At 47.0% G+C, this 14051-nt stretch overlaps 1 protein-coding gene and 1 long non-coding RNA gene across 2 annotated transcripts in view, besides 6 other annotated features; one reads left to right on the plus strand and one right to left on the minus strand.

Moving 5' to 3' along the window:
- The window catches only part of IRF2 (interferon regulatory factor 2), an 86822-nt gene extending 83321 nt beyond the window's left edge, over positions 1-3501 (minus strand). The window contains exon 1 of the mRNA NM_002199.4: positions 3330-3501. The gene's annotated coding sequence lies outside the window, so the exon portion shown is untranslated. The remainder of the gene's footprint in view (positions 1-3329) is intronic.
- Positions 1760-1829: a silencer, noted in NCBI's record as "silent region_15836". NCBI's record gives its function as "represses an Ori minimal core promoter by ATAC-STARR-seq in GM12878 lymphoblastoid cells {active_cell/tissue: GM12878}" and the evidence as "EXISTENCE:reporter gene assay evidence [ECO:0000049][PMID:35858748]".
- Positions 1890-2579: a silencer, noted in NCBI's record as "silent region_15837". NCBI's record gives its function as "represses an Ori minimal core promoter by ATAC-STARR-seq in GM12878 lymphoblastoid cells {active_cell/tissue: GM12878}" and the evidence as "EXISTENCE:reporter gene assay evidence [ECO:0000049][PMID:35858748]".
- Positions 2660-2709: a silencer, noted in NCBI's record as "silent region_15838". NCBI's record gives its function as "represses an Ori minimal core promoter by ATAC-STARR-seq in GM12878 lymphoblastoid cells {active_cell/tissue: GM12878}" and the evidence as "EXISTENCE:reporter gene assay evidence [ECO:0000049][PMID:35858748]".
- Positions 3520-3639: a silencer, noted in NCBI's record as "silent region_15839". NCBI's record gives its function as "represses an Ori minimal core promoter by ATAC-STARR-seq in GM12878 lymphoblastoid cells {active_cell/tissue: GM12878}" and the evidence as "EXISTENCE:reporter gene assay evidence [ECO:0000049][PMID:35858748]".
- Positions 3670-3859: an enhancer, noted in NCBI's record as "active region_22221". NCBI's record gives its function as "activates an Ori minimal core promoter by ATAC-STARR-seq in GM12878 lymphoblastoid cells {active_cell/tissue: GM12878}" and the evidence as "EXISTENCE:reporter gene assay evidence [ECO:0000049][PMID:35858748]".
- On the plus strand, positions 3753-6255 carry IRF2-DT (IRF2 divergent transcript). Its single transcript, NR_186573.1, has one exon. It is a non-coding gene; the product is annotated as an IRF2 divergent transcript (long non-coding RNA).
- Positions 4210-4539: an enhancer, noted in NCBI's record as "active region_22222". NCBI's record gives its function as "activates an Ori minimal core promoter by ATAC-STARR-seq in GM12878 lymphoblastoid cells {active_cell/tissue: GM12878}" and the evidence as "EXISTENCE:reporter gene assay evidence [ECO:0000049][PMID:35858748]".
- Positions 6256-14051: the final 7796 nt, after the last annotated feature.

The following is a 14051-nucleotide window of genomic DNA, read 5'->3' on the forward strand; positions in this document are numbered from 1 at the left end:
TCCCTCCTTGCTGGAAATTCTATGAGAAAGATAGTGTCTAATCCAGTCATGATTATCTGGCCTTTTTACACTAAGAATAATCTGATATAATTTTGAAAGTTAATGCCTTACACATTTGTAGACTGCCATAATTTATGCAATGTTCTTTCATATACAGTATCTCAATTGTTCATGAAAGCAACACTTACGAGATATAGTTAAAAATTATTATTATCCTCCTTACAGCTAACCCCAAAAGGTAATAACTATATTTTTTGTTGTTAATGGTCAGCTCACTCACCAGAACACAACCTAGTGTAAAGATGCTGTCTTTCTCGCTGTCAGTTGAGTATACAGAGGCTAGCACTGTGTCTGGCTTATAATAGATGTTCTAAGGATATTTATTGAGTGTGTACATAAATTCTCTTGTCTGCGTTAAGCCCTTTTTGGTATAAGGCAGATAAGGGAACTATAACCCAGATACTCCATTTAGATAGAGTACAGTGGTTTTTCACTATCAAAAGGATATTATGTGAAAATGCTCTAAAAACAACAGTTTTGTACGAGATGATGTTAAGAATAAAAATATAACATCGTTGGTAACATGAGAAAATTGATGCACATCAAATGTGGAGCATCCAAAGTGTCTATTTTTCCAGTAAGTTTAAACATCTTTTGCTCTGGTGCACTATTTGCCTAATAAAGTGTTTCAGAAAGTGGGATAAAAGTGGGACCATTGTTCATAAGGCTGTCAGAACTTCATGGCACGCATGTGTTTGCCATAATTTGCTTCCAGTTTGACTACAGATCCTTACTTTTGATTATGCTGACATTTTTACAGGTAAGTAAATCTGAAATAACTGGAACTTTCTCTAACAAAAAAATGACAACTCACTGAGAATGAAATATGTAAATGTTTAATTTTAACAAGCAGTTACAAATCGTAACAGACAAGAACTCTTGGATCTAAGAGACCAAAATGTAATTTCTTACATAACAGACAAAGTTACAAGTTATAATCGTTCACTAATTACAGTGAAATTCCGGACTTTGACACATCAATCAATAGATGTTCCAACGTTCCCCCTAGAGATCCCAGTTCAAGTCTTAAATATTTCATCTGCTGAAGTTTCCTCAGAAAAGGCTCCTTTTCCCAGGATTTTTTAGGTTTCTACTTTTGCCCCTTCTCCCACTAAAAGAAGAATAAAGGAAAGTTGGGGAAATCAGAGAATCCTGAATCTGCGTGCGTGGTGAAGTTAAACAGAGTCACCCTCTGGGCCTGGTAGGGATAACTGCATCTGCCTAGCATCAAGACTATCCACCGCCTGGTCTAACCCCAGACCCCGTTGTGCACCTGCCCTTAAGCACCAAAAACTGAACTGCTCAAAGAGAACCTGCAGTCGATATGAAAACTAGTAAATGACTGCAGGCTTGACAGCAGTCTCGGTGATGCCTGAAAATCCACAACAGGAAATCTAACTATCCTCCATACCTCCTGGCCATTCATCAAAAGCAGACCGAGTCACAGCCATAAGGAGGCCGGTGGCTGAAGACGAATGCCAGCACCACTTTTCCTCATTTAGAACAACTGAGTTTTTTCCTTCCATAACCAAGGACAAGGAGCAACCGGAGGGAGGAGGTTGAAGAGGGAGGGGGCGGGCAATATGTCCCCAAGTTTCAGACAGTAGCGGGTCAGAAACGAGCGAAAGCCACCTCGCTCTTCTGAGCTACCTCGGCCGCCAGTCCCCGGGATCACATCCGCAGCCGAGCGCCAAGGGTCCGGCCTACACAGACTGACCCGGGCGTTTCACCTGGTGCCCGACCACGGCTCTGGCGCCCTGCCCAGGCTGCCCGCCTCCTTCCCCTCCCCCGCTTCTTAGGGAACAAGGAGGAGAGGGTGGCAAACGCACCCAGACCGGGGGCCAAGGGGAGACGCCGGCGCGTGCTGGGAGGGGCATGAGTTACACCCGCGACCCTTGGAACTTGGAACGGCTTCCCCAGCCCCGGCGGACGCCGGCCCCCAGGCCGTGCCACTGGGAGCAGGCGGGCGCCGCGATTGGCCGCGGCCGGCTTCACTCGGTGGGCGAGCCCTACCGGCGAGGCGGAAAGGAAGTGGCGGCCGCCGCGGCTTTGCACCAACCATGTTCGGCCAGCGGGCGAATGTCACCCGGCGCCCGGAGCCGGGTCGGAGGGCACGGGGCGGGCACTCGCGTCCCCACCCCGCCGCGGCCCGCGCCCCGGGACCCCGAGGGGACGCCGGCCCCCACTGCGCCGCTCGGTCCCCGGAGGCTCCCCGCCCCCACCTCGCCCGCTCCGTAGCCGAGGCGGGTCAGGCCCAGCGCGCGAGGCCGGCCGGGGGCGCCTGCGGGGACCCGGGGGCGCACGGCGCTAGGCCGCGGCCCGGGCGGCTGACCCCTCGGCACGGTGCCTTCCTGGGACGCGCCGCCCGAGCCCCTGGCGCGCTGGGACAAGTGCAATGACAAAGCCCCAGGGCCCGACCGGGCGCTGGCCGGCGGGAAGGAGGACGCGGCGTCCCTTCTGAGCGGCGGCGGCGGCGGCCCAGCCCCCAGGAAGCAGGGCGCGTCGGCCAGGCCCGGCGCCCGGCCCGGCTCCGAGCCCGCCCTCCCGCCCCGGCCGCTGGCACCCGACGCCCGCGACCCGACCCCGAGCCCGGCAGGCAGGCGAGCCCCTGGACCGCCGCGGGGCGCCCCAGCAAGTTTCCTCTGGCCGTGGCTGGAGGCGCTCCTCCCGGCCGGGGAGCGGTGCCTGCTTATTTACGCTGGAGGCAGCCTGGAGAGGCGCCGCCGCGGGCACCGAGAAGGACCCGCTCCCCTCCTTCGGATCCGGTGGCGGCGGTGGCTGCACACACACACACGCGCGCACACACAAACACGCACATACACACAATTTTGTTTTAAATGAGGCCCGACTCCAGCTGACCTGCACCCCCACACACAACACCTGGGGCGCAGAAGCACACACAGCAGGTCTGTGTCCATGGAGCCACCTCTCCGCATCTGCAAATCCAAAAGTGAAATTAAACCTCCACCAACCTCCTCCTCCTCCTCCCTCTCTACCTCCTCCTCCTCCTCCTCCTCGCAGCCTCAGCAGCCCCAGTAGCAGCAGCAACAGCAGCAGAACCTGCTTCCCCTAAAATCAGATGATCCATAATTGCGCCGACTGTTCCTCCAAAAATCAGTATTAATATTTATGAACCCCGGCATTTTCCGTCTGCAAAACATCGTGTCAAGGCATCAGGACACGCATACACACACGGCCCCCCACAGTCCCCAGAAACATGCCCTCGAGAGAAACACACACAGTCACAACTATTATTTGAAAAATGTTACCTCTCAGTGTGCTTTTTTCACGCTACCAATACAATTCCGCAAGGTATAAGTGTTGCTAGGGTATGTGAAATGGAAATGAAAGCCCGTCAGTTGAATAATCGCAGGAGCAAAACTAAAAGTTACTCCCCGGCTTGCCTGAGAACAGTCCAGATCGAAAGCAAAACAAGGAGAGGAAACTGCGAAGAGCCGCGGCTGGAAATCCCCCCACCCCCCGCCCTCCTCCGGCCGCGCTCCCTCCCTCGCCTCCCCTCTCCGCCCTCCTCCCTCCGCCCTTCCTCCCCAGTGTTTGTTTCAAGCTTGTGCAACCGGGAGGTGGAGGCGGAGGGAGGGCGCGAGCGGCCCGGCCGGGAGGTGCGGAAGTTCGCCGCAGCAGCTCATTGGCGGGCAGCGCCGCTTTCATCATTTCTCGGAAAAGTCAATTTCATTTTCGCTTCCCCAGGTCGCGGCGGCGGGAGCAACAAGCAGCGGCTCGTGAGTCCGCGGCTCGCACCCAGGGGCGCCCGCACGTGCGGCTAGAACGTCCGAGTCGGGGTCCGGGGCGGGGGGCGCAGGCCCGCGGCGGTAGGGGAGGAGAGCGGGCACCCGAGTCTCCATCCTCAGGGTGGCCTGAAGGTTCCAGGAGGGCGTCCGGCGAAGGCACGGGGCTGCGACCATCCAGTTAGCAGGGCTGGTGTGACTGTTGAGAGTAAATGAAAATTCGTTTTGTGACACCGACCACCTCCAAGGAATGAAAGGAGCAGTCAGCCGAAACGACAGCATTACTTGCGTCCTTACCTAATTGGAACCTTATCCGTGGCTGAGGGTGCCACCATTGGAGGGGCCGCCGCCCCCTCTGACACCACCTGGCGCTCCGCTCCATTTAGGAGCTAGAACGAAAAGGAGGCCCATCCCCCAGTAAGTCACAGCCCACGCCAAGATGAGTTCTGGAGCCTGTGCGACCGAAGTTTCTTCACCGCAGGGCGAGGTGGACAAGGGTGTGAGTTACTTTGACTTCAAGACGTCTCAGTGGCGGCTGGTTCTGGAGAGAGGCTTTATGCTGGAGCACTTCCAGCAAAGTTCGGCTGGGGCCTCCTTAACTCACTGGCTGGTCACCCTTGGCCTCGGTTTTCAACCAAAGCCTAAGGCCTCAGTTTTCAACGCTGTAAATGGAAATAAATGAGAGAAGAAAGTACAGCCCGTGTGACAAGTGCAGCAAGCAATGCAACTTCCTTGGGACCTACCCTTTGTGGTCCCTTGCTTTAAAAGTATAGATTCACATTTAGTTAGACCTGTTTCTTCCTCGCATGCAATTTCACCAGTCTTTTCCCAGACTTCTGTACTCAACAGAGGAAGTTCCTTCCTGGGAGACCATAGCTGTTTGTATGTAAAGAGTTGCGAAAAAACAAAAGCAAAACAAAAAACTCCAACACCTCTCTGTCACAGAAGTATTGAATTATATAGACTGGAAAAATGGAAGTATCCAAGAAAACGCGTGTGGTAAGAAAATGGCTAAGGTGCAGGATTCTGTTTTGTGGCTCTGGTCTCAGAAATAGACCTCACATACACATTATTCCTTATCCCCTCTATTATAATACTCACTTTTTTTTTTTTTTAAGAGACAGGGTAGGCCGGGTGCAGTGGCTCATGCCTGTAATCCCAGCATTTTGGGAGGCCAAGGCAGGAGGATCACCTGAGGTCGGGAGTTTGTGACCAGCCTGACCAACATGGAGAAACTCCATCTCTACTAAAAATACAAAATTAGCCAGGTTTGGTGGCGCATGCCTCTAATCCCAGCTACTTGGGAGGCTGAGGCAGGAGAATTGCTTGAACCCAGGAGGCGCAGGTTGTGGTGAGCCGAGATTGTGCCATTGCACTCCAGCCTGGGCAACAAGAGCGAAACTCTGTCTCAAAAAAAAAAAAAAAAAAAAAAGAGAGGGTCTTGCTCTGTCACTCAGGTTGTGCTATCATAGCTTACTGTAACCTTGAACTCCTGGCCTTAAGCGATCCTCCTGCTTCAACCTCCCAAGTAGCTGGGACTACAGGCCTGTGACAGTGCCTGGCCCAGGCACTGACTTTCTTATGTCATATAGCAATGACCACTAAGGGAAAGTCTATACAAACTATAGAATAGTTGTCATTCTTTACCCAACCCGGGACACAAGTTAAAAACCTAGTATTCATTTTTTTTTTCCTGTACCAAAACAATCATCTTCCTTTATTTTTCCTGGAGCGGGAAGAGGAGAGTGGAGAAGAAGGGAAGAATGCAAAGTGTCACTTTGAACTTCTCGTTCACCACACACGTGGGAGTCCACTCATGTCAGCAGCCTCCGTGCACAGGCCCCAGGTGAAAGAAAGAATGAGGTCTAGTTGGACCAGCTAACACTGCCTGCCTTGTGTTTACGAAAGGCAGCTGCCTCTGTGGTGTGATTTCAGGGGAGCCAGACAGGGCCGGGGCCACGAACCTGCATCCTGCATCCTAAGCACCTATTGCCATGCGTGAGGCTAACTGGAAACTCACTTGCTGGGTGCAGATAGCTTCCAAACTATTGTGATGCTCATGCTTGACTTCCCAAGGAACGTGTTTCAGGAAAGGCCATTGCCCTCATTATGGTCTTTGATAAGCAGGAAGAAGTTTGTTGTTCCTTTTTTTTCTTAATGCCCTACTTCGTGCAACATACATCCAATCAGTCATATCCTATTGACGCTACCCCTAAATATCTCTGGGCCTGGCCCGTGCTCAGGGCACTGCCTTCATTCAGTTACTGCACTTGCCTGCTGCCTGTGCTCCTGGTCTCCTGCTTGGACTCCCCCAGGCCAGCAGCCACACTACTGCCAAAATCCAGTCGAAAATTAACTTCAGGTAAAGCACAATTCCAAACCTAACACTGCCCCCCTCAAAAGCCTCTCTGTAGCCTTCAGAATAAAGACCATATTATTTGACAAGACACATAAAGTCCATTGTAATCTGGCACCAAACGACCTTTCCAGCCTCATCTCCTGCCATTGTGTCCCACAAGCCCTACATCCCTCCCTTGCCAAACCAGCCTCCGCTCCTTTTTGTCAAACAACAGAGCTGTCCTCTTGTTCATTGTTTTATCTTTAGCATGGTGCCCAGCACACAGGCACTGAAATACTTGTGAATTAATAATTACTTGCTCTTTTCATCAGGCTCTCATAAAATATTTTAGACTTGATCAGAGCCTTGTTTTATATTTTAATAGCTTTTTAATATAAATGTAATTAATGTTTCTTGTACAGAATTTGGAAGATGCAAGAATGGTGAGAGAAGAACATAAGCCACCTGACATCTCACTAGTCAGGAATAGACCTGTGGATATTTTTATGTATTTCCTTCTAGTGATCTTTCTAAGGGACCGTTTCCAATCCGCATCTCCTCTGTCTGTGTGTAGGATTTAAGAATGCTGACTGTGCAGGCTGCTCTCCACGATGCCCATGTGACAGCCTGCTGTCCTATTCTAGTTCTTGGCCGGTTCCTCGTCTGCTGCCAGCCCCCTAAATTATGGTGTTTCCAGGCATTCTATCCTCAACCCTCTTATTTTCTCATTCTACATGCTTTATCTTTGGGTGTTCTCCTCCACGCCCAGGGCTTCAGATATCACTATTTGCTGATGACTCCAAAATCTGTAACTTCTGAGCTCTGACCACATTAACTCCTACACATGTCTCAGGTGCAACAAATTATACATGTCCCAAGTCAGAGAGAACATCTTTTCCACAGCCTTGCACTGTTCACTTCATTGATTAGCTGGGAAACTGGGAGGACTCACAGACTGCCCCCTTTCCTGAGTCCTGGGGCCTCCCTGAAGCATGGGTGTTGCTTGCAATTTTCCAGGCCCCTAAACTCATAAAACATAGACAGAATGAATTTCTGTTCTTAGGCCCTTGATGACATGTCACTGCAAACCAAAAATGTACAAATGAACCAAAACAGCCACATGGTACTGATATACACAGTCAAGAAGTATCTTAGCCCTTTGATGAGATGCATATAGTAATAAATCTCTGTGGAAACTCCAGCCTTTTTGGAAGCCTGGGTAAGAAAGTAGGCTCAGTGGCTCACGCCTGTAATCCCAGCACTTTGGGAGGCCGAAGCGGGTGGATCATGAGGTCAGGAGATCGAGAACATCCTGGCTAACACGGTGAAAACCCGTCTCTACTAAAAATACAAAAATTAGCCGGGCGTGGTGGTGGGCGCCTGTAGTCCCAGCTACTCGGGAAGCTGAGGCAGGAGAACGACATGAACCCGGGAGGTGGAGCTTGCAGTGAGCCGAGATCACACCACTGCACTCCAGCCTGGGCGACAGAGCCAGAGCGAGACTCCATCTCAAAAAAAAAAAAAAAAAAAAAGAGTAACCTTTGTCATACTGAGGAAATCTGACCAAACACTTCAGTCTAACGTGAAAAAAGTTGAAGGGTCTTTTATAGTGAAACTAGAGTCATCTCCTGGATGAAGCATGTTTGTATTTCACCTGTGGGATGGAATATCCTAAAAGATCTGCCTGGCTGCCTCAGGACTCATTTCTTTTCAGGGGAGTCGGGTGCAGACAATATTACTTGAGCACAATAGTGCCGGATCTCTCCTTGAGTGGATCTTAACTAAGGAAGAAATGTAAAGACACATTCAAAGTTGACCCCTTTCAAATGGGTTTTTAACTTAGTTTCCTAAAATTGAAACAAAGTTTCATAAAATGATCATTCAAATAAAATCTGTTGAGTGCTCAGGAACATTTCCCAGCACTAGGGATACAGCAGTGAACCAAATGAATGAAAGTGCCAGCCTTCTAAGACGTTTTCTTACAGTCTTGTAGGTTGACATGTTGATTTCCACTGTGGCATCCCAGTAATGGCACCGACATCATCTCCACCTGTAATCACAGCCTTCAGAACTGTACATGCAACTTAGGAATGTGTAACATGAAGGCATATAAATGAAAACCTAAGTATTTATAGCTATGATTTAATCAGGAGCCCCAGGTCTGCAAGCAGATGCTCAGTTTTCTCCCCAGAATCACTGGGACCACTTCTGTCTTGGCCACTGGAGCTCCCCTCCAAGGTGCTGCAATTCAGGAGGTTAGAAAGTCATGGAAAACGAGGGTTCCACCCTTGCCAGAACAGTTGCCAATACAAAAGCCACAGATTAACAGTCCTGAGTTGCAAAGAACATTATTGTGAAGTCCAAGTTGAATAAACACACAGCCAAGTTAAATTTTTTGCGGCAATAGAACAGCAATGGGATTGAAAAAACCATCAGTCAAAGTTCAAAGGTCATTGGCCTCAAGTTGAAAAATTCTTGAGCATGTTTGACTGTTACTTTATGTAATGGTTCCTTCCATTTTACAAGAAACTAGGAAGTGGGGGTCATTTTGTTGCAACTATTTTCTGAAAATCATGAGTTTACATTGAGTAATACATTGCTCAGTTTTGGGTGATACTCATTCTGCCCTGTTCTGAAGGGAAAACACATTCTCTAAAATTGCCTGGATTTCTGTGTGTGTCTGTGTGTGTGTGTGTGTGTGTGTGTCTATGTCTGTGTGTGTGTGCATCTCTGTGTGTTTGTGTGTCTGTGTGTGTGCGTGTGTGTGTGCGTGCGTGCGTGTGTTTTTCCTTTCCCAAAGGAAGGCTTTCAACTTTGAAAACTTCATGAAGTGTTTTTTGGCATAATTTCCCAAATGGCTGTGGAATATGTGAAATATTCCTTATTTCTCTATGGTGACAAACTATAAAGTAGTCCTTTTACCTTTAAAGACAGAGGGACATGGTGTCTATAGCTTTGCCTTGACGTTCTGCAGAGCAATTACTATAATAGTTTCAGGTATTGAAGATATTTTAAAGAATAAATTTCAAATTTGTAACCTAAATTTAGGAGACTACTTGGTTCACTGGTCATCTGTATATTTGAAGAAATTTTTAATATTGTTATATTTGTTTTCTTATTTTAAAATATTTAATTGTCAGCCAGGCATGGTGGCTCATTCCTGTAATCTCAGAGCTTTGGAAGGTCAAGGCAGGAGGATCACTTGAGGACAGGATTTCAAAACCAGCCTGGGAAATATAGCGAGACTGTCTACACACACACACACAAAAAAAAAAAAAAAATTAAGAGGGTGTGGTAGCGTGCACCTATAGTCCTAGCTACTTGAAAGGCTGAGGCAGGAGGTTCCCTTGAGACCAGGTGTTCAAGTCTGCAGTGAGCTATAATCATGCCACTGAACTCCAGACTGGGTGACAGAAGGAGGCCCTATCTGTAAATAAATAAATAAAGAAATTTATTTAAAGTAAGTAAAAATAAAATATGTAATTGTCAAATAAAGATTGAACATATTCAAAGTAAACAACATGATTATTTGATACACATATATTGTGTAACAATTACCACAAATGAATTAAAACATCCGCCACTCGCCCTGCTATGATCAGCTCCCACAACATATTGATATTATACATAACTAAACGTTTTGTATCTTTTGACTAACATCTCTCCATTCCACTTCCAGTCACTGGCAACCACCATTTTACTTTCTGCTTCTCTGAGTTTAACATTTATAGATTCCACATGTAAGTGAAACCACACAATATTTGTCTTTCTGTGTCTGGCTTATTTTACTTAGCATAATGTCTCCCAAGTTCATCCATGTTGCCAATGAGATAGGATTTCTTTCTCTTTTTATGGTTGAATAATATTCCATTGTATATATGAACCACAGTTTCTTTATCTGTTCATCTATTGGTGGACACTTGGGCTGTTTCCACGTCTTGGCTATTGGAAATAACGCCGCAGTGAATATAAGGGAGCAGACATCTCCTCAGGATATTGATTTTATTTCCTTTTGATATGTACCCAGAAGTGGGATTGCTGGATCGCATGGTGGTTCCATTTGGTAGTCTCATTCTAATGGTAATTCCATTTTAATTTTTGGAGGCACCTCCATACTGTTTTCCATAATGGCTGCAACAGTCTATATTCCCACCAAGTGTGCAAAGGTTCCCTTTTATAGCCCTTCTAACAGGAGGGAGATATATCTCATTGTGATTTTGATTTGCATTTCTCTGATGATTCATGATGTCGAGCACTTTTGCATACACCTGTTGGCCATTTGTATGTCTTGTATGGAAAATGTCTATTCAGGTTCTTTGCTCATTTGCTGCAACTTTCACCATTTCTCTGTAAGCCTTTGGTCTCAGCGTATGAAGCATGATGATGTTCAGTGTGTTCTCTTCCTTCCCAAACTTCATAGCATTCTGAATAATACACCTTTATTCTATTTGAAAATGTTTGGAAATTCGCCAGTCAGAAAGACAGCAGAGTGTCATAAAACAAAGGATTGAGAACATTTAGAAATGTTCTCACTTCCTTAAAAAACTTTATCTCTGCTAAATACCAAATGTGCATGGCAATTCACGTACACAGCTCTTGGCGCATTCTCCTTAACCTTTGATGCATCTTGGCGTCATTTACCCTCCATGTTTATTGAGCACTGGGATGCTCCAGGCACTCTGAGAGCTGCTGTGAAGAAAGCAAGAGCCAGACAAGACCCCTGCGCCCATGCCCCTGATGCTCTAGTGAAGGTGAAGGCAACAGACAAATAAACAAGCAAACCAACACAATAGTCACAGGTTTGTCTCAGTGCTCTGAAGGAAATCAACAGGCGCTTTGGTAGAAAATGCTGTGTCAACTAGGTGGTCAAGAAGCTTGCTCTGAGGAAATGAGATTTAAGCCAAGACGTGAAGAATGATGTAGTCCTGTATTAGTTTGTCAAGGCTGCCATAAGAAAGTCCCACAACTGAGTGGCCTAAATAACCAAAATTTATTGTCTTATAGTTATGGAGGCTGGAAGTCTGAGAACAAGGCATCTACAGAGTTGGTTCCTTCTCAAGGCTGTGGGGGAGACTTCCACACCTCCTGGCTTCTGGTGGTTTGCCAGCATGCTTGGGCATTCTTTGGCTTGTAAATGCATCACCCCAATCTCTGTCTTGATGGTTATGTGGTGTTCTCCCTGCACATGTGTCTGTGTCCACATTTCCTTTTTTTTTTTTTTTTTTTTTTTTTTTTGAGACTGAATCTTGCTCTGTCGCCCAGGCTGGAATGCAGTGGCCCGATCTTGGCTCACTGCAAGCTCTGCCTCCCAGGTTCACGCCATTCTCCTGCCTCAGCCTCCCAAGTAGCTGGGACTACAGGAGCCCGCCACCACGTCCAGCTAATTTTTTCTATTTTTAGTAGAGACGGGGTTTCACCGTGTTAGCAAGGATGGTCTCGATCCCCTGACCTCATGATCCCTCCACCTCGGCCTCCCAGAGTGCCAGAATTATAGGCGTGAGCCACCGCGCCCGGCCCACATTTCCTTTTTTGATAAGGACACTTATATTGATCGTATTGGATAAGGAGCCCACCCTATTCCCATAGGACCTCATTTTAACTAATTATATCTCCAACTAACCTATGTCCAAATAAGACCATGTTCTGAGGTACTGGGAGTTGGGACTTCAGCATATGAATTTGCAGGAGGAGAACACAATTCGACCCTCCACAGGTACCAACTTCACCGAAGCAGAGGAAAGAGTGGGGCCAGAGGTCTGGGAAGCAAGAGGGTCTGGCAATATTCTGGGAACAGACAGGAAATGACTGATTTCAGAGTTGTGTGACAGAAAGAGGACAGGGATGTGGTGAACAGGTGGGAGACACCAGAATAAGGGGTTTGCATTTTATTTTAAGAGCAATAGGAAGACTTTAAAGGGTTCTAAATAAGATCGACTTGTGGTTTTAAAAACTGACACTATACATTTCCCAGTTGTCTCTGCAACATCAATGAAATGCAAGAATTTCTTCAGTTGTTGATTTTTTTAAAAGTTTTTTAGAGTCAGGGTCTTTCCCTGTCACCCAGGCTGGAGTGCAATGGCACAATCACAGCTCACTGCAGCCTTTAACTTCTGGGTTCAAGCAATCCTCCTGCCTCAACCACCTGAGTAGATGGAACCAGAGGTGTGCACCACCATGCCTGGATAATTTTCTTATTTTTTGTAGGGACAGAGTCTCACTATGTTGTCCAGGCTGGTTTCAGACTTCTGGCCTTAAATGATCCTCCTACCTCAGCCTCCCAAGATGTTGGGATTACAGGTGTGAGCCACTGCACCTGCCAAGTCGTTGATTTCTTAGAGGAATTTTCAACTGTTCTTTATTGCCCTCTCAGTCTATTGCATGACACATTTGTAACACTCTAAAACAATTCAGTCTTTTTAATTCTATTTTTGAATTCCTAAGTCAAAATATTTATTCCCCTTTAACTTTCTCTCCAATTTCCATTTCCACAAATAAATAAAATTAATTAATGTTCTTTTACCAAACACGCCCACACAAATACACAACAACTTTAAAAAGAAAAAAAAAAAACAAGCTAGGCCAGGCCAGGTGTGTGTGATGGTTCGCGTGTATAATCCCAGCACTTGGGAGGCCAAGGCAAGAGGATTGCTTGAGACCAGGAGTTCGAGACCAGCCTGAGCAACACAGATAGACCCCGTCTCTACAAAAAAATTACAAAAATCAGCTGGGCGTGGTGGCTCGAGCCTGTGGTCTCAGCTACATGGGAGGCTTAGATGGGAGGATTTATTGAGCCCAGGAGTTCAAAGCTGCAGTGAGCCGTGACCATGTCCCCAAAATGCCAGGGGTTCAGTCTAGGTCCCGCTGCTCACCTCACAGAAAGCCAATCACCAATCACTAAGCAACAATTATTGCCAAGGAAGAAGGCTTTCATCGGGTGTTGCAGCCAAGGAGATGGGAGATCAGTCTTAAATCCATCTCCCTGGCCACTAAAATTAGGGGTTTATGTAGCAGGGAAGATGTGTAATAATGTGTAAGAAAGCAGGAACTAGGGAGGGGCAAGGAAGCAATCATGATGAATGAGGGCCTGGCATCTCATTGTCTGGATATGATTAGCTGGTAAGTTTCAGTTCTTAGGTACTTTTTGCCAGACCTGGAGGTCCTTTCCTGAGGAAGAAGCTCAGATAAAACAAATGTAAATTTCAAGCTTTAAGACCAGAAGGATCAATTGATACGGTTTTCCAAGAAAAAAACTGTCTATGGAACTATTGGGTCGGTTTCAGTGGTGTCACAGTACTCTAGCCTGGGCAACAGAGCAAGACCTTGTCTCAAAAAAAAGAAGAAGAAGTATATTCAACTGTGGATTTCAGGCACACACTATTTTCCTCATTCCATCTTGAATGAACAGTAATAATTTTCAGAGATTGTGTCACCACAAAACCAACATTCATTTCAAACTTGTAATGGTTTCAAATGTATTCACTTTTTTTTTTTTTTGAGACGGAGTCTCGCTCTGTTGCCCAGGCTGGAGTGCAGTGGCACTATCTCGGCTCGCTGCAAGCTCCGCCTGCCAGGTTAATGCCATTCTCCTGCCTCAGCCTCCCGAGTAGCTGGGACTACAGGCACATGCCACCATGCCCGGCTAATTTTTTGTATTTTTAATAGAGACAGGGTTTCACCATGGTCTTGATCTCTTGACCTCGTGATCCGCCCACCTCTGCCTCCCAAAGTGCTGGGATTACAGGTGTAAGCCACTGCGCCTGGCCAGCACTTTTTTGATTTCTAAAAATTTTCAGATTTTTCCATCAGAAACTCCTTATGTGATAAATGGTTTCTGCGAAACTGAATTTTTGTTGGCAAAACAATCAGCATAAGTAAAATTTGAATGTGCTGTAATTTGAAAGAAAATA

This window comes from Homo sapiens, chromosome 4 (assembly GCF_000001405.40).
Source record: "Homo sapiens chromosome 4, GRCh38.p14 Primary Assembly".
NCBI classification, from domain to species: domain Eukaryota; kingdom Metazoa; phylum Chordata; class Mammalia; order Primates; family Hominidae; genus Homo; species Homo sapiens.